General features: G+C 39.1%; 2 protein-coding genes and 1 long non-coding RNA gene across 3 annotated transcripts; 2 read left to right on the top strand and 1 right to left on the bottom strand.

The window, feature by feature from the left end:
• Positions 1-270: 270 nt before the first annotated feature.
• Positions 271-1,227, top strand: OR2T34 (olfactory receptor family 2 subfamily T member 34). The gene has a single exon (NM_001001821.1). It carries the CDS (start codon positions 271-273, stop codon positions 1,225-1,227), a length of 957 nt encoding a protein of 318 aa, NP_001001821.1.
• An 8,474-nt stretch (positions 1,228-9,701) lies between these two features.
• LOC124904576 (uncharacterized) lies at positions 9,702-12,424 on the bottom strand. The gene is made up of 2 exons (XR_007067007.1): positions 12,113-12,424; positions 9,702-11,839 (listed from the first exon to the last, which is right to left on the bottom strand). It is a non-coding gene; the product is annotated as an uncharacterized LOC124904576 (long non-coding RNA).
• Positions 12,256-18,116, top strand: OR2T29 (olfactory receptor family 2 subfamily T member 29). Its single transcript, NM_001004694.3, has 2 exons — positions 12,256-12,302; positions 15,527-18,116. The coding sequence occupies exon 2, from the start codon at positions 15,537-15,539 to the stop codon at positions 16,482-16,484; it is 948 nt and encodes a 315-aa protein (NP_001004694.2). The 5' UTR covers positions 12,256-12,302; positions 15,527-15,536; the 3' UTR covers positions 16,485-18,116.

The raw sequence follows: 18,116 nt of genomic DNA, 5'->3' as shown, positions 1-18,116 counted from the left end.
AATAAGACATAGAGTGTACCTGTCTTCACTCTTGACTTAGCTCAGGAATAGTCACCTCCCCAGATCTGTTTCGTAGTTCACTTTAGCTTGTGGCCAACATGCGACTTGACCTAAGATTTGAACTTATGATTTTATGTCAGTTTAACTCAATATTTAGAAAAATAATTCAAAGCACATGTCTTACCAGAAAAAGGTTAGGAAAGCCATGTACATAGGAAAGATTTAAAATTAATGACTTTTTTTTCCTCAGGGGGAAACTGTGAGCCAGTCATGTGCTCAGGGAATCAGACTTCTCAGAATCAAACAGCAAGCACTGATTTCACCCTCACGGGACTCTTTGCTGAGAGCAAGCATGCTGCCCTCCTCTACACCGTGACCTTCCTTCTTTTCTTGATGGCCCTCACTGGGAATGCCCTCCTCATCCTCCTCATCCACTCAGAGCCCCGCCTCCACACCCCCATGTACTTCTTCATCAGCCAGCTCGCGCTCATGGATCTCATGTACCTATGCGTGACTGTGCCCAAGATGCTTGTGGGCCAGGTCACTGGAGATGATACCATTTCCCCGTCAGGCTGTGGGATCCAGATGTTCTTCCACCTGACCCTGGCTGGAGCTGAGGTTTTCCTCCTGGCTGCCATGGCCTATGACCGATATGCTGCTGTTTGCAGACCTCTCCATTACCCACTGCTGATGAACCAGAGGGTGTGCCAGCTCCTGGTGTCAGCCTGCTGGGTTTTGGGAATGGTTGATGGTTTGTTGCTCACCCCCATTACCATGAGCTTCCCCTTTTGCCAGTCTAGGAAAATCCTGAGTTTTTTCTGTGAGACTCCTGCCCTGCTGAAGCTCTCCTGCTCTGACGTCTCCCTCTATAAGATGCTCACGTACCTGTGCTGCATCCTCATGCTTCTCACCCCCATCATGGTCATCTCCAGCTCATACACCCTCATCCTGCATCTCATCCACAGGATGAATTCTGCCGCCGGCCGCAGGAAGGCCTTGGCCACCTGCTCCTCCCACATGATCATAGTGCTGCTGCTCTTCGGTGCTTCCTTCTACACCTACATGCTCCGGAGTTCCTACCACACAGCTGAGCAGGACATGATGGTGTCTGCCTTTTACACCATCTTCACTCCTGTGCTGAACCCCCTCATTTACAGTCTCCGCAACAAAGATGTCACCAGGGCTCTGAGGAGCATGATGCAGTCAAGAATGAACCAAGAAAAGTAGTAAAGGACAAGCATTGTCCCCTCCTCTTTCTATAATTCCGTTACTCCCTATCTCTCCTCTCTTTTGCCCTCAGGTCTCCGGGTCCCCAGCACAAAGCCCACTCATATTTTCCTTCTTTCTTATACGTGGCGTTTTCCCTCCATACTGCTTATTGCTCCCATTTATCTCATTAGATTTAATATCTTTAGAGTGTTTTTAACTGCACTGCAGTAGCTGACCTATGAAAGACCTTATAGAGTGCCTTTTATCTTATCTCCCATCCCAGGTTCATTGAGCATTTTAGTATGAGACTTGGTCTTAAACACTTTACCCCTCGAAGAGACTCATTGTAAAGACTTAGAATCCTAGCAGAGCCCTAGAGGAGGAGTATTGGCTGCTCCCTCCCTTTGCAATACATTGTAAACCTCGGTTCACATTGGCAGCCACTGGGGTCAGTGTTTCTGCTATTGTATCTCAGTAAGTACAAAGAAACGCATTTTCTCCAAAGGCTGAAGTGAACTTTGTAGTGTAAACACCAGTAGTTTTAGCATTGGCCATTGGAACCACCTAAACCAAAAATGAATCCATTTCAAAATTCAAAGAATAGGTTCATCTATTTCATAGTATGTAAATAAAAGTAGTTCCAGATTTAGTTTCTTTAGGATTTAGTCTATTCCAGACAATGGTCTACTATGTTTACAATAAATATCATAACAGTCGCGTGCGATAATGGAGACTTAGGAAAGCTTAACCCCCTCGGCATGTTTCTTCTGAAACTGGGAAAACCAGCAAAATGGTTATAAACTTGTCACTAACCTTTAGTTTGCCAGATGTATATCATGCTACAAACGTAACTTCTGTAAATCTATGAGCATCAGATCACTATCATTTTCATTAACAAAATAATTCATGGGTGTAGTATTTCTGGAACGTGAGAAATTAGGAAAGAAATACATTTGTTCTAATTAATATGCAAGAAGCTGAATCTCGAGCTGTATCGTGAAGCTGTTAATTTACTTCCCCTTGGCACAGCCCTGACCATGCCTGATTTACCGACAATGAATGGAAGCCAGGTGTTCCCATGCCTATCGCATCTTCGAGAGAAATGACAAGTACTTGCTTTACATGACACATCGACCGAACACTTTTGCTTCTCACTGAAAATTATTCCTGCAGTGCATGAAAGGAGTTTGTCTGAGTTTGTGTACAGAGATCTGAATTTGGAAGTAAATTCCACCAAGTGGTGCAGAAATATCACTTGTAAGAGGGGGTTGTTAGAGGTAGGTAAAATTTGGTTTCAGAAATTGCTGTAATTAAATAAATGGGCAAAACTGCTCAAATGGACACCACAGATGACTAATTTAACAATGTTCTTATGTTGTCATTATATTATTTATATAATTATTTACCTCAGGAAGGTGTACAGAGTGGGATTGCTGAATTATAGAGTAGCTCTATTTTTAATCTTTATAGAACTGTCATACAGCTTTCAACACAGGCTGTTGCAACTTACGTTTCTACCAGCAATGCACATGTACAAGTGTTCCATTTCCTACACACACTTGACAGCACTTGCTATGTATTGCCTGGTAATAGCCATCCTAGCAGGTGTGAGCTGATATCTCATTGTGGTTTTGATTTGTGTGGCCCTGATGATTAGTGATGTTGAACATCTTTTCATTCACCTGTTGGCTATTTGTATTGCCTCTTTGGAAAAATGCCTATTCACACTGTCTTTACCATTTTTAAGTTGGGTAATTTGATATTTGCTAATGATTTTGTCAGTTTCTTTTATATTTTGGATGCTAACTCCTTATCCAAAATATGGTTTGCAGATATGTTCTCCCATTGCAGAGATTACCTTTTCATTTTATTGTTTCCTTTTCTGTGCAAAAGTTTTTGCATGTTGATGCAGTCCTACTTGCTTATTTTGCTTTTGTTGCCTTAATTTTTGTGTCATATCAAAAATATCACGGCCAAGATCAATGTCAAAGAGCTGTTTCCCTATGTCATCATCTAGGACTTTTACAAGTCCAGGTCTTCCATTTAAGTCTTCGATCCATTTAGATTTGGTTTTGGGGGAATAGTGTAGGATAAGAGTCCAATTTCGTTCCTCTGCATGTATGTATCTGGTTTTCCCAATGCCATTTATTGAACAGACTATCCTTTCTTCATGCTGCATTTTTGGCACCCTCATCAAAGACTAATTGACCATATAAGCATGGCTTTATTTCTATAATTTGTAATATAGTTTGAAATCGGAGTCAAGCCTCCAGCTTTGTTCTTTTTATCAATATTGCTTTGGCTATTTGATATTTTTGTGCATTCACAAAATTTCTAGAGTTGTTTTATTCTATTTATGTAAAAAATGCCTGTGGAATTTTAGTTGGGGTTATACTGAATCAGACATTTTCTGGAGTAATATGGACATTTAAAGAATATTAGTTATTCTAACCCATTAACATGAGATATCCTCCCACTTATTTATCTCCTCTTTAGTGAACAGATCTTTCACTCCCTCAGCTGTATTTATTCCTATGTATTTTATTCTATTGGATGGTATTGGGAATGGTATTCTTTTCTTAATTACATATTTGGATGGTTCCTTTTTGGTGTATAGAAATACAACTCATTTATATATGTTTATTTTGTATCCTGCAAGTTTCTTGAATTCTTTAACTCTGATGGGATTTTGGTGGAGTCTTTAGAGTTTTTTATATGTAAAATCATGTCATCTGCAAACAGATGGCAAGATAATTTAACTTCCTCTGATTTGAAAGCCTTTTCTTTCTTTTTATTGCCTAATTGCTCTGGCTAGTTTCCGGTATTATGTTGAATAGAAGCAGTGAGAGTGAGCACTCTTGTCTTCTTCCTGATCTTAGCGGAAAATCTGTTTCTCTCCATCGAGTATGATTTAGCTGTGAGATTTATTATGTAAAGGCACATTCCTTCTATAACAAATCTGCTGAGTTTTTATCATGAAAAGATGTTGAATTTTATCCAATGCTTTTTCTATGTCTATTGAGATGCACAATTGTTTTTGTCATTTATTCTGTTAATGTGGCATATCATATTTATTGATTGGTGTATGTTGAACCATCTTTGCATCTGTGGGAAAAAAACTTGGGACCCCAATTTACTATGCCAAAAGGAAAAAAGATACTAAGCTGAAAGCTGAGTTATGCAAGAAACTGCATTTCCTTTGGTTTTTGTTTTTTGTTCCTAATCAGTTAACTACTGATAAAATGTTAGAGTAACAGGCAGTAACTCCACATTCTCCTTACCTGACGTAAAGCGATGATCCTTCTACTGAGTGTGAAAGGAATACATAAATGACTATTCACCTACCTGCTTCTTTGCTTCTTTTCTTCTTGCAACCTGTGGATTATCATACTCTCCCTCTTTCCCCTCTAGCCTGCTTTCCCCTTTAAATATTAAAGTCCTCAAAATTATCTTTAAAGAAAAGCACAGACCACAGACTGTTTCTGTAATTGTGTTCTTTTTTCCAAGCATGTCCTTTACCTTGGTGAAATAAACTTTCAATCTGATTGAGACCTGTCTGACATACTTTTGGTTTATACATCCTAGGAATAATCCCACTTGATTAAGGTGAAGTATCCTTTTAATGCACTGCTTTGGTTTGTTAGTATTTTGTTAATTTTTACCAAAAATTATGAAAGCTGTTTGTCAGGAATATTGACCTATAATATTTTGGGAGTTAGTGTTCTTATCTGGCTTTGGTTTAAAGGTAATGTTGGCTTCAGTAAATGAATTTGGAAGTGTTTTTGCCCTTCAATGTTTTGAAAAAATCAGAGGAGGATATGTGTTAGTTCTTTAAGTGCTTGGATGAATTCATCATGAAGTCTTCTAGTCCTAGGCTTTTCTTGGGAGTTTTTTTTTTTTTTTTTTTTTAAGACAAAGTCTTACTCTGTTGCCCAGGCTGGAGTGCAGTGGCATGACCTCGGCTCACTGCAACCTCCGCCTCCTGGGTTCAAGTAATCATTTCATGTGCTGAGTACTCTTATACCTACTTTCTTAGCAATTTTCAAGTACATAATTGTTGAAACTGTAGTCAGCATGATGTACCATAAACCTCCTGAACTTATTTCTCCTGCTTAAATAAAATTTTGTATCCTTTGACCCACATCTTCTCTTTTCCTTCCTCACTCCAAACTCTGGTAACCACCATTTTATTCTTTGTTTCTATGTGTTTGACTATTGGACACTTCACATATAAATGAAATTGTGCAATATTTGTCCTATACCAGGCTTATTTTATTTAAAATATTGTCCTCTGGGCTCATCCATATTTTTCCAAATTATAGAATTGTCTTTGACTTTTGACAAACTGATCATAATATGTCTCAGGTATAATGTTTTGGTTTGTTCTTGCTTGGGTTCCTTTGAACTTTATGAATCTGCATGTCCCTATCCCTCACAAATTTAGGAAATGTTGTCATTTTAGCTTTCTGTTTTTCTCTCTTCTCCTTCTGTGAATGTCATAATACACATATATATTTGCTTGATGTTGTCTTATAGTTCCCAGATGCTTCTGCATTTTATTTTTTTTGTTCCTCTAACTGTATGATCTAAACTCAAGTTCATTGCTTCCTTTCGCTGTATGATGAAATATGTTATTAAAGTACTCTGTTGACCTTCTCACTTCCATAATTGTATTCAGAATATTTTACAAGCTTTACACTAAAGTTAACGAGATTTACACACCTCCATTACAGTACTAGAGTGTTCCAAATTTGACTACAAATCTTCTCAGCACAAGAATTCTTTCCTTTTATGATGTCAATGTCTTTATTATATTTCTCATTTTGTTTATGCATTTTTTTATTAGTTTTAGATCTCTGCTATTTTGAAGCTCTTTGATCCTATTTAATATGATTTTAAAATTCTTAGGCAATTCATAGATTTCCATTTCCTTGGGGTTGCTTAATGAAGCTTTATTACTTTGGTGGTATTTATTTATTACTTTGGTGTCACATTTGCCTGATTTTTTGTGACTCAAGTAGCTATGCATTGATGTGTGCACATTTGAAGTTGCAAACAGCTCTTCTGGTCTGCATAGACTGGTTTCGGTAGGTAAAGACATTCTCCTGTCATTTCTCTAGGCTAATAAGAATTACCTCCAGGACTGCAGTTGAGCAGGGTTAGAGCCATGTCATGTGGCTACTCCTGAGTCTACAGCAGAATTTTTAGTTGGCAAGCTTGTTACCAGAAGTCGAGTTGAGTATAAATCCTGTCTGGTCTCTTGGTAGAGAAGACTGCCTCTAGTACCTTGGTCAATAGGGCTATCGCTAGGACACTCTGCTTCAGGGTTCACATTTGGTTCTGTAGATGGCATGCCTCTTACGAGGTACAGAAATGGGTGTGGATTCTATTGAGTCCCTTGAAGGACTCCCATTATATTGGTGGGAAAGTCTCTGGGCAAGAAGGATTGTCCCCAGACCACAGTTGAGAGGACCTGGAACTGAGTCTCAGGGCTGTGTCATGGACCACAGCTGAGTCTGAGGTCTTCTGTCCTGCATGGATGGGTGTACCTCCTGCATAGTCCCTGTAAATATAAGATATAAGATATCCCCAAGCTGTGGTTGAATGGAAGCTGGAGCTGGATAAGAGGGCTGATTCAGGATCTCCAGCTGACTGATGTCAGCAGTCTTGTTTACAGGGGCATCGATCAATGTGTCACCCAGGAGGTCACTGAGTGGGCAGGACTGCTTTTGAACAATGGAAAAGGGTGCCAAGTAACAGAGCTGCTTCAAGATTGGCAGTCGGACGTAGTTTTGAGAGCCTGCCTCTAGGCACATGAACAGGGTTGCCTCCTGGCAGGTCTCTGTGCAGGAAGGTCTATTCCCAGACCATGGCTGAGGGGGACTGGAGCTGGGTCATGGACTGCTTCAGGGTTCAGAGCTAGAACTAAGGTTAGCAGGCCTGTTACTTGAGGGTACTGGTCAATGTGAGTGCCCCTGGGCCCCTTGGCAGATGGTTCAGGTGGCAGGACCAATGCCAAACAGGGCACTAGCTGAGTCCAGAGGGATGTTAATTCTGTGTCTGTAGCCAGGACCACAGTCAGTGAGCCTGCCACCTGGGTGTGGCCCTGCCTTCTCAAAATAGCTCTCTTCAGTGTTGGGATTCACCAGTTTTGACACTTCCTGTCAAGATCCAGAAGTTCCCACCAAGGGACTTTTGTGCCAGACAGGCTGCTATATTATTGCTGCTTTGAGGGGATACGATTATAGGAGCTCCTCTTCAAACATCTTGCTAATGTTTTTAATCTCTTTGTATTAAGAATATTTCTCTAGCACATTATTCAACTTAGATTTTACTCAATAAGTTAATTTAAAACCTGTGAAACCAGACAGCAAGTTATCTGCTGTCAAAATGCAACAGTGACACTCACATATAGGATAGACATTCCTATTCTGAAAAAGAGAAATTGGAAGTTAAATAGAAGTCTTAGAGCCAAAGCAAACTTGAAGCCTGGCAGGGCAAGTTTCGTTAGATTTCAGGACTTGAGGTCCTCTTTGGCTTGATATCCTGACCTCCAGTCCATAAAGGTGGTGGCCCCTCTTCCTTTGTTCTGTGCATGTATCTTGCATTTCTTTATATCTCTGATGGTGCCTTCAGGATCATTTACAAAATGTTTGACATGTTTTATATATTTATAGTTTAATTCTTAAAATGTTATTTTTGTTTTTATAAATATTTTCTCAGTTTACATTTAAAATGTAAAAAAAAAGTAGAACTTTAAGCAGGGTTTCCACCATAAATATTAATGTTGAAAAAATATATATCAATAGCTTTTCTGTCACTGTTAATGCTTTTTAAGTATTTTTAAATGAAAAATATTCTCCAAAAAATTAAATTATAAAAATATCTCAGAATCTCAATTATTGTGGAAGAATTTTATTAAAATTACTTCAAAATCCAGACCCGACCTCTAAGTATTTGGATATCTCTGTGAGACCTATTGTGCTTGTTTATAAAAATCTGCAACATTTTAACAATATCAATTCTTCCCAAATGTATTTCATTGTATTCTAATCAATACAATTAGTTAGATCTTTTGAACCTAGCCAAATAGATCAACTGAAAGGAAAAACAAAAACTTGCTTATTTTGAACATGAACATACATGAAGACAAGAATTGTTTCACTAGTTGTTTAAAATTATCATGAGGGGACACCCAATAAAACAAGATATTTTAAAGGAATTCAGTGAAAGACCAATGGAAAAGAAGAGATAATGTGGAAACTTAGCCTCCCCTGCACTGGCTTCTGGTATAAGATGTTGACCCTCCTTCCTTGTGCGATCCCGTTGTTTCCTCCACACACACTGGTTCTCAAAACCATGATTTTAGGACTGCCTTCTCTTATGAACTCTGGATTCGTGTATACACTAGCCTTGCATCATCTTCATGTAGATGTGTACTGGGCAACTGGAGTCCCAAATTTCAGTTTCAGCGTTCCATGCCAACCTGCCCAGCCCCAATATTCCTGTGTGTATAAACGGCAATCCAACTTCTCCTCCTCCACCACACCCCTTGCCCAGACACCATATGTCTCATCAGGACTAGCTCAAACCCTTTCCTGCATTCTCGCTCAAGCCTTCTCAGTGATAATCATATACCTGTTCCAAATGTCTTTCCTCTCTGTCCGTCCTCCAGTGATATCTCAGAGTGGGATTAACCAAGAAGCAAGGAGAGTCAAAGCTTTGGGGCCCTTCACTCTCTGGAGATTCTCTGAGTGCTGTCTGTTGCTGGGAGTTGTATGGTGGGGTGGGGTGGGGAGGGGAAGCCAGGCTACAGTCAGAACAGACTGTGAGCATGCCTGGTAAACTTCCTGAAGAGTTCTTAGAAGACAGGGGCCAAACATTGGCTGAGACTTCCTTTCTTTTTCTAAGTGCACATGCACTCTCTTGAGTGCCGTGTATACTTTTGTCTTCCCTTTCTTAAACACACCTCTGCCTGTCCCTGGTCCTTCCCAGGACCATCATGATATTATACGACCTGTTCTTGGCTCCATTTCTAACCCCATTTTCTGTTTTGCCAACTTTCTCACCTCAATCTGGGGCCACAGATCTTCTTGCTGCTGTTCAAACGTTGCAAGTTACTTTCAGTCTCACAGCTTTTAACTTTCTCTGTTTCCTCTGCTTAAACATCTCTGCCCCGTTGTTTACGAGTGACTCCATTGCTTCATTTACGGATCTGATGAAATTTCACCTTCTAAATAAAGGGCTCCTAACTAGCCTGTGTTAAATAGATTCGCTAATCATTCCTATCTCATCTCTCTGCCTTTATTTTTTATTCACTGTGATTATTAATACTTGATATTTCATTACATATTTATTAGTTTATTGCCTGTATTTACCACTAGTATATAAATGCTGTGTGGGAAGAATCTTTGTTTCAAACATCATAAACCTAGATAGTGCCTGGAACAGTTACTAATTATTTTTGAAATTAAAGAAAATATCATTCAACATTGGAATTTAATCTTTAATTAAAAGCAATAATGTTAGCAATTCACTGCATATCACACCCAAATAAATTATTTTTGTATTATAACTCAAAGGTACCAAAAAACCTCTGAAACTCATTAAAAGTGTAAAGGTAGATGCTTTACATAATCCCCAAATGCATAAAGACTTTGTAAGCACGAGACAGTTAATGAAATTATTAAAGTTAATATATTAAACAAAATACTTTAAAAAATTCTGATGAAACAAAATATCAGAATGAAAACTGAAATATAAATATTTTAGTTGATACTATTCACAAAGAGTTACTATTTTTTTTCTTCTTTTTGAGACAGAGTTTCGCTCTTTTTGCCCAGGCTGGAGTGCAATAGCGTGATCTTGGCTTGCTGCAACTTCTGCCTCCTAGGTTCGACTGAGTCTCCTGTCTCAGCCTCCCAAGTAGCTTGGATTACAGGGCACGTGCTACCACGCCAGCTAATTTTGTAGTTTTAGTAGAGATGGGGTTTCACTATGCTGGCCAGGCTGGTCCCGAACTCCTGAGGCCAGGTGATCCACCCACCTCGGCCTCTCAAAGTGCTGGGATTACAGGTGTGAGCCACCGCATCTGGCCAGTTATTATTTTCATACCAAAAACACATTTATATTTATAAAGAAAACATTTCAATAGAAAAAAATGTGAAAAGGATAAAAACACACGTTTCACAAAAGCAGTAGTTACATGGATAAACATGAAAAGTTATATAAACATATTAATTAAAAAAGACAAATAATGATACACCTATGAAATTGACCAAGAAGGAAAAGCACACATAATTCAGAGCTGGTGCAAGTGAAGTTTAATTCTGCAGCAAAATTTGAAGAGGCTTTTGGAAAAGTAATTCAATGTTGTATATTAAGAAGTGTGAATCACCGTATATCAAATGGTAGATTGTCTCAGGGAAAAACTGACATTCAGAGTGTATTTTTTGTATAATTAGTTTTATTTCTGCATAATTTATAATGTTGAAATTTTTAATGTCACTATTCACTCTTAGGAGAAGATTGCAATTGTGATATAATTACTCTGATAGATATTAACTCCAGTAGATACTGTCCAGTCATATACGAACACTACATATTGCAAACCGAAGAGATGTAACACAGAAGATTGGTTAGAGGTGGCAAAGGGTTACAGGGAAGGCTGGAGAAGTGGGCAGGGGAGTGTTGTCATCCAAGGACCAAGAGTCCTCACCACTGGAGCCCCATGTGCCCCTCACTGCTGAGCTGATGGGAACTCTGCACTCCAGGGCTGCTGAGAGAACCCTGCCCTGGTGATGTGCAGCAACCCAGATGCCTGCATCTCCCCAATACGACTGAAACTGCCTCTCAGGTGCTGAAGTCTGAGGCCCCCCATGGTCCCTGTTGCTTATAGCTGCTGACCCACACCCCCATCAGAAACGGAAAAAAGTAGTTTACTTCTTCCTCTCACCCTGCAGTGTCCACCCACAAGGGCCTGCACTCTCAGAGCCTTACGAAAAGTGAAGTAGCAAAGAAGTCAGGACAAACCACGTGCAGGCTGCAGCACTGTGGGTCAGAGACTCCAGCCCTCAAACGTGCACCTAAAAACAGGACATTGTCTAGACAAAGGTGGTCATGAAAAGACCTCCATGATGTAGGAAAATGATCAACATTTTTCCAGAGCACGTCTTTAGAGAAAAGTTCAGAGGAATTTGGCTGCAAGATCTAAGATGGCGGTGCAGTTTCTTCTGTCTTCTTCCCTGTTTTATTCCAACAGCCTAATACAGGGTATACACTCAATGAATATTTGTAGTTTAAAGGGAAGATATAACATTTAAAGTATCATTTTTGTCTGGTTTATTACATTAGAGTCGATTTTAAAATTTTTATTCAACCAGTTTTATTTTAGATTTTTCTATGACTTTAATGACAGTATTTAAAACAAAAACAAAGATAAAAATCAAATGCAACACTAAAGCAATAAAGATTGCAAGTGAGTGAGAGGGAAACAGACTACAATCGGTCCTAATGAAGAGGGAGAAAGATGGAGATATGAAGATGACTCCAATTTTAGTTTTAATCAAGGTACTGATTTGTGGAGGTATCTTTGACACATCAGTTGACCTCTGAGTTTCAGATTCTATACCTGTGAAATGTTAGAATAAAAATAACAATATCTTACAACATTTACTTGAATATTAAATGAAGATCACACATATATATGGAATATATTTTATAATGTGGAAAAGGCTAAGGCTGTATATGAACTAACTCCTATATTTCATAAATAAGATTTTGATGATGATGAGATTTGAGATTACTATTACTAATATTGGTTAAAAGTTTGCATTTCATAACAGAGGTAAAAATTGTAAAAGCTATTAGAAGAAAACCAGAATTGTTCAGGAGAGATACCTACTGACTTCTTTAGCTCTCTTAATTGCATTCTTCTTCAACTCCCAGAGGTGATGTATCAACCGAAAGCTTTCAACCCCTCCCCTAGTACACACGGTAAAACCAGGCAGGTCACTTTCTTACTCCTGTTGGTGCTCTTAACCTGGCCACACACCACCAGCCCATCTAGGTGAGGTTCAAGACATCATCTGATGGTGAGTTCGGCCAGACAGACAGGAGGTACTAGCAGGAACAAAAGGGTCATCACTGCTCTCGACTTGTTCTGCTTCTGAAACGTTCTATTAGTTCTTCACAGCATTTCCTCATTTTTTCTTTATCATCTGTTTTTAATGGAGAAAAGCAAATGTTATTCTTTCTTATAACTTCTATACAACACTTATTTACTGTGACATAATGGTAAATGGATTTTTAATTTCCAATTATTTATGGACATAATAATATATATTCTATAGTTTTAGATTTTCATACAATGATGTATTTATTTTCCTGTCACTGAAGTTTTATAGAGGAAAAGTGACTGATTTTCTTTTGAGAGGGGATTATTTCTGAGGGTTACAAAACACTAGAAACAATGTCTCAATCATTTTATGTTTCCTTGATGAAACCCACAGACAGTGGCCTAAATCCAAAGTGTAGACTGCAGAGGGAGGATGGTGTCCCTGAGAGGAATCAGGCAGAGTTACGTGCGCTGGCTCTCACTCTCGGGCTGAGACGTGCGTTCTATCTCAGGTTAGGTGTGTGATATTAGGCAGGTACCCTGAGAACCTGCATTTTTTAATATGTAAAGAGAGAAAATAATAGGAAGTAACTCATAGGCTCTTGGGAAAGAAGAAATGTAAAGTATTAATTTTAGTATTAGTATTAGAACAATTCCTGGGATGCTGTATGCTTCAAATAAAGGTTTGACTCCATTTATACTTATAATAAATCCCCAAGTTAAACATGCATTAAGCAATTTACATGAAAGTCAAACAAGCGGGTACAGAAGAAGAATGAACAGGGGGCCAGTTCACTGTGTGTGGATAGTGTTCCCTTATCTGTCCCGTGTCCTGGTTGAGCTGTTGATAGTGGCTTAATGATAGTGGCTTAATGATAGTGATGGCCATTTCCTAAAGAGCAGCAGAGATTTCTTAGGAAACCCCGCATCTCCCTGCCCTCCTGCTCCCCCTCAATTTACTGAGCAAACACCTTTTAGGTCTTCACATGTGCTGGTCGCTCCTCTGGTCCTTGCTTCACTTTGGCCACAAATAATGGACGAGGTCAGCAGGTGTGTTTTGCAGTTTATTGGAATGTTTTTAAATTGTACACAGATCTCAGCCACCATTTGCCAGTAGGGGTAGTGTTTGATACACATTATCTATCTATCTATCTATCATCATCATCTATTCATATATATACATATGTACATAAAATGTGTCTCAGATTTGTTGGATATTTATATTAAAGCACCGAAGCATCCCAGAATGTTGGAAGTTTTGGTGAGTTGAATGTCTTAAATACTTTTTGTAATTACTACAAGAATACAAAATATATTTGAAACTTGTAAATTCATTCCAAAATGTCCCTGCATCATAATCACAGCTAAAGTCTTCCCAGAAAGAGGAGTTATTATGTCCTTATTCTTGGCAAGGGCTCTCAAAATTTAACATTTAATATGTCAGAAGTTGAAAAGTTGGAAAGTTTTAATTTCTTTCAGAGAAAATGTGGAAACAGCTATTATGGATTATTTCAGAACGGCCAGATATATTTTGTGTCTATTGCCCTTATTTATTTTGTAACTATTTAAAAATTCAACTTCAAATCACATTTACATAATAGTTGTTCCCTGAATAGACTGACTGTGACCTCCTTAAGTGCACTCAAGTTCAATTTTTCTTTGATTCATCTTCTGCATATAACACAGAGGCTGTGAGTATCATGATAGAGAAGGAAACAGTGAGTTGAAGTCAGAGGCGATTCATCGTCAGTATAACACAGGCTGTGAGTGTCACGGTAGAGGGAGAAACAGTGAGTTGAAGTCAGATGCCTCAGTGTTGTTTGATTTTCCTCCCTGCTTCTCAGTTTGTATGAAAGATTGATTGTGGCAAGTAATAAAGCACATGAGGTTTGCAAAAACAACTAAAGCCTTGTCTGATAAACAGCAGTGACCCTCCAAATTCTAGTTCTTCCTCGCTGAGATTTAATGAGCTTTAAAATGAGAGGAGCTTTAAGGAGATGAGGTTGGAGGACCACATACTAGGCAGGAAGGACATAGGAGTCTCCAAAAAGCTCTGCATAACCAGGGTTAAAATAAGAAATGTTATAGTTATATATTCACCTGTGTATGTTTACATAAATATATTATATATATTTATATAAAACCAGAGTATTTACACATAAACACACAAATATAAAATCCAAATTGTTTTTTTTTAAAGTGGGTCATATGCTTTATTTTGCAGAACTTCTGCCATTTTTATTTTGAAAGTCAGCTTCTTAAATGTATGAATAGGTACTGAATCTGGAGAATGGAAGTAATATATCTTATATAATAATAGTAGCAACAATCTCTTAGGTAGGTTGTGCAGAATAGTTAGCTTAAAGAGTTAACATCTACACTAAGAGTATATGTGTTTATTCATCGGAAACTGTACTATTCTAAGCACTTTCATTACATTTCCTCATTTTACCCTCACCACACCTGAGCTCAAACATGATTTTTATCCTTTTTGATGTAGATTGGAGAAAGGAATGGCAGACAGAGAAAAAGGTGGACCCATAGCTGGAGTCTACTGTGTGTGGGCTCCTCACTTCACGTCTCTCGATGTCTAAAGGGTCAGCTGTGTGTGAGGACCCTTCCCTGCTCATGAGAATGTGAGGCTCGCTCCACGCAATCACAGAGCCTCACAGCATGGCCTGATCCTATGGGAGGAGGAGGTTCAAACATCTGGCATAATTTTTTTTCCAAGTTACGCTTTAGTTACTTGCTAAATCTTTCTTATATCATATATACCTCTGAGTATTTTGAAGATGCCTATTGTTTCTTAAACCAGCGATGTTGATTCAATTCAGCTGTCTATGACAAAAACTCTACAATAAGGAGTTTGCTTTATCTTTCTTTCAATGAGTCACTGTTTGTGTTAGCAGAGGAGGGAGGTTCTGCAAATTTTCAGTACTTGTTGATAAATGGCATTATCATCAGGAAAGTTTATGAATTTGAACCGTGACAACCTTACTATCAGTTACCAATTCTTCTGGCCTATAGTTGTGAATTCTTAGTTTGTTTTGTGAATTTGTTATATGTCATTTATATACTCAAATCCCCAGACCCACGGGACTCAGGTTAGCACAATGAGCATACACAAATGTGAGTACTCACTAAACACTCATTACAAAGGGACGCGTTACACTGACTCCAAAACTCTCCTTGGTGGCCTAGGTGAAACCTCATGGCCAACATCACCAGGATGGCCAACCACACTGGAAGGTTGGATTTCATCCTCATGGGACTCTTCAGACAATCCAAACATCCAGCTCTACTTAGTGTGGTCATCTTTGTGGTTTTCCTGAAGGCGTTGTCTGGAAATGCTGTCCTGATCCTTCTGATACACTGTGACGCCCACCTCCACAGCCCCATGTACTTTTTCATCAGTCAATTGTCTCTCATGGACATGGCGTACATTTCTGTCACTGTGCCCAAGATGCTCCTGGACCAGGTCATGGGTGTGAATAAGGTCTCAGCCCCTGAGTGTGGGATGCAGATGTTCCTCTATCTGACACTAGCAGGTTCGGAATTTTTCCTTCTAGCCACCATGGCCTATGACCGCTACGTGGCCATCTGCCATCCTCTCCGTTACCCTGTCCTCATGAACCATAGGGTCTGTCTTTTCCTGGCATCGGGCTGCTGGTTCCTGGGCTCAGTGGATGGCTTCATGCTCACTCCCATCACCATGAGCTTCCCCTTCTGCAGATCCTGGGAGATTCATCATTTCTTCTGTGAAGTCCCTGCTGTAACGATCCTGTCCTGCTCAGACACCTCACTCTATGAGACCCTCATGTACCTATGCTGTGTCCTCATGCTCCTCATCCCTGTGACGATCATTTCAAGCTCCTATTTACTCATCCTCCTCACCGTCCACAGGATGAACTCAGCAGAGGGCCGGAAAAAGGCCTTTGCCACCTGCTCCTCCCACCTGACTGTGGTCATCCTCTTCTATGGGGCTGCCGTCTACACCTACATGCTCCCCAGCTCCTACCACACCCCTGAGAAGGACATGATGGTATCTGTCTTCTATACCATCCTCACTCCGGTGCTGAACCCTTTAATCTATAGTCTTAGGAATAAGGATGTCATGGGGGCTCTGAAGAAAATGTTAACTGTGAGATTCGTCCTTTAGGAAATTATAAAGTAGGAAATTTGGATATAAAGATTTATTTTCCTTTTCTCTACCCATCAGATACTTAGGATTTTATCCCTGTTATTCCTTAGACTCTCATACAATGATGCCTCATCTCATATTCATCTCATTTTGAGGAATTCTTTCACTGTGTGGAAACTCTATTTTATAGTCTTTGTCCATCCAAAATTCTTTTACAATTGTGTTATACTAATGTAACATTTTTGGAAGTTGATAACTGTTCTCTAATTTTGTGAAAAAATATTCTTAACCTCAGGAAATACTTAATATTTAGAGACAAAAAGGTCATGAGGTGTTCAAATGATGAGAGGGAAAGAGGGAGGGAGATAGAGAGGGGCAATGAAACAAACTGAGTTCAATGTTGCTGCCACACATGAGTATGGGTAAAGGGTATATAGGTATTAATTGTACTATTGTTTTTTAATGATTTTTGTGAAGTTGAAATCATTTACAAATAATTAAATACCAGGCTTTTCTCCCTTTTTGAAAATATTCTCCTTTCTGCTTGGTGGCAGTGTGACATCTTAGAAATCATGCTCATTTCATTATATCTAATCATTACCGAGAAAATCCAGTCATCGCCCCTTCTTTATTGAGGGCTACATTTTTCTGCATGGTCCAATTCTGATGGCGTCTAGTGGATTTATCTCTCCGAAATAATTACTGCCATGTGGTGTATTGAGGATGTAGGACCACATAAGTGACTGCAGAAAAAATATGACACCTGAGTGGAAGGAGTTTTAAGGAAGGTTACCTGCCCAGGGTGATTCCTGAGCTGAGATTTCAAACATGTAACTTGTTATACAAACAAGCAGAGGGATGGCATCAACATTCAATCCTTCATTTATTTAACAAGCATTTTGTACTATTTTATAATTAAAAATAGTTAAATAAGATTAAATTTTGAATAGCACATGGCTTTTACCAAGGAGTTTGAAAAATACATGTAGTTGTTTATGCAAACAAATGTAAGAAAATAAATAAGCTGTTTTGATACTCGTGTGAAGGGTGCAGCTCATAAGGACACACTAATTCTATCTGTGACATCTGAGTTCAAACAAGGAGCTGAGAGGAGACTCCGGGGCTCAGTGCTGAATAGTGACGAAAAGTTACCCTCAGATGAGTGTGTGATGTTGGAGCCAGGGGAACTTGCTGAGACACGCTGCAAGGGAAAAGGCACAGCATGAGCAAAGACAGGGCTGAGCAAGCGAGAGAGATCAATGCCCAGTAGATCTTTCTTATTTCATGTTAGGCTTATTTCTTGCCCTTGTGTGGCCCAGGGTTTTACAAACAATAGTGAAATGATCAGATTTGTATTTTAGAAATGTTATTTGTGTGGTGATCAATTGGAGATGTGCAAGACCAAAAACATAGAGACCAGGTACATGAGAATGGTGATCTAAATGATGTTGATCTAAGTGGAGTCGACCATGCCTTTACCCGAGAATAGGCTGATAGGAGGGCATTTGAGGTGGGGCCTGCTGAACCTGTTACCTAAAAGCATACATGTGGTAGCTGCATGCTATAACTTCCTAATTGGCTATGTACAACTTGCGAATAATCAGGTGTTTTCAACAGTACACATTCTTCTTTTCTCTCACCACACTCAAT

This window comes from Homo sapiens, chromosome 1, assembly GCF_000001405.40.
Source record: "Homo sapiens chromosome 1, GRCh38.p14 Primary Assembly".
NCBI lineage: Eukaryota > Metazoa > Chordata > Mammalia > Primates > Hominidae > Homo > Homo sapiens.
Note: the sequence above shows the minus strand (reverse complement) of the source record. Positions and strands in the feature narration are given on the sequence as shown.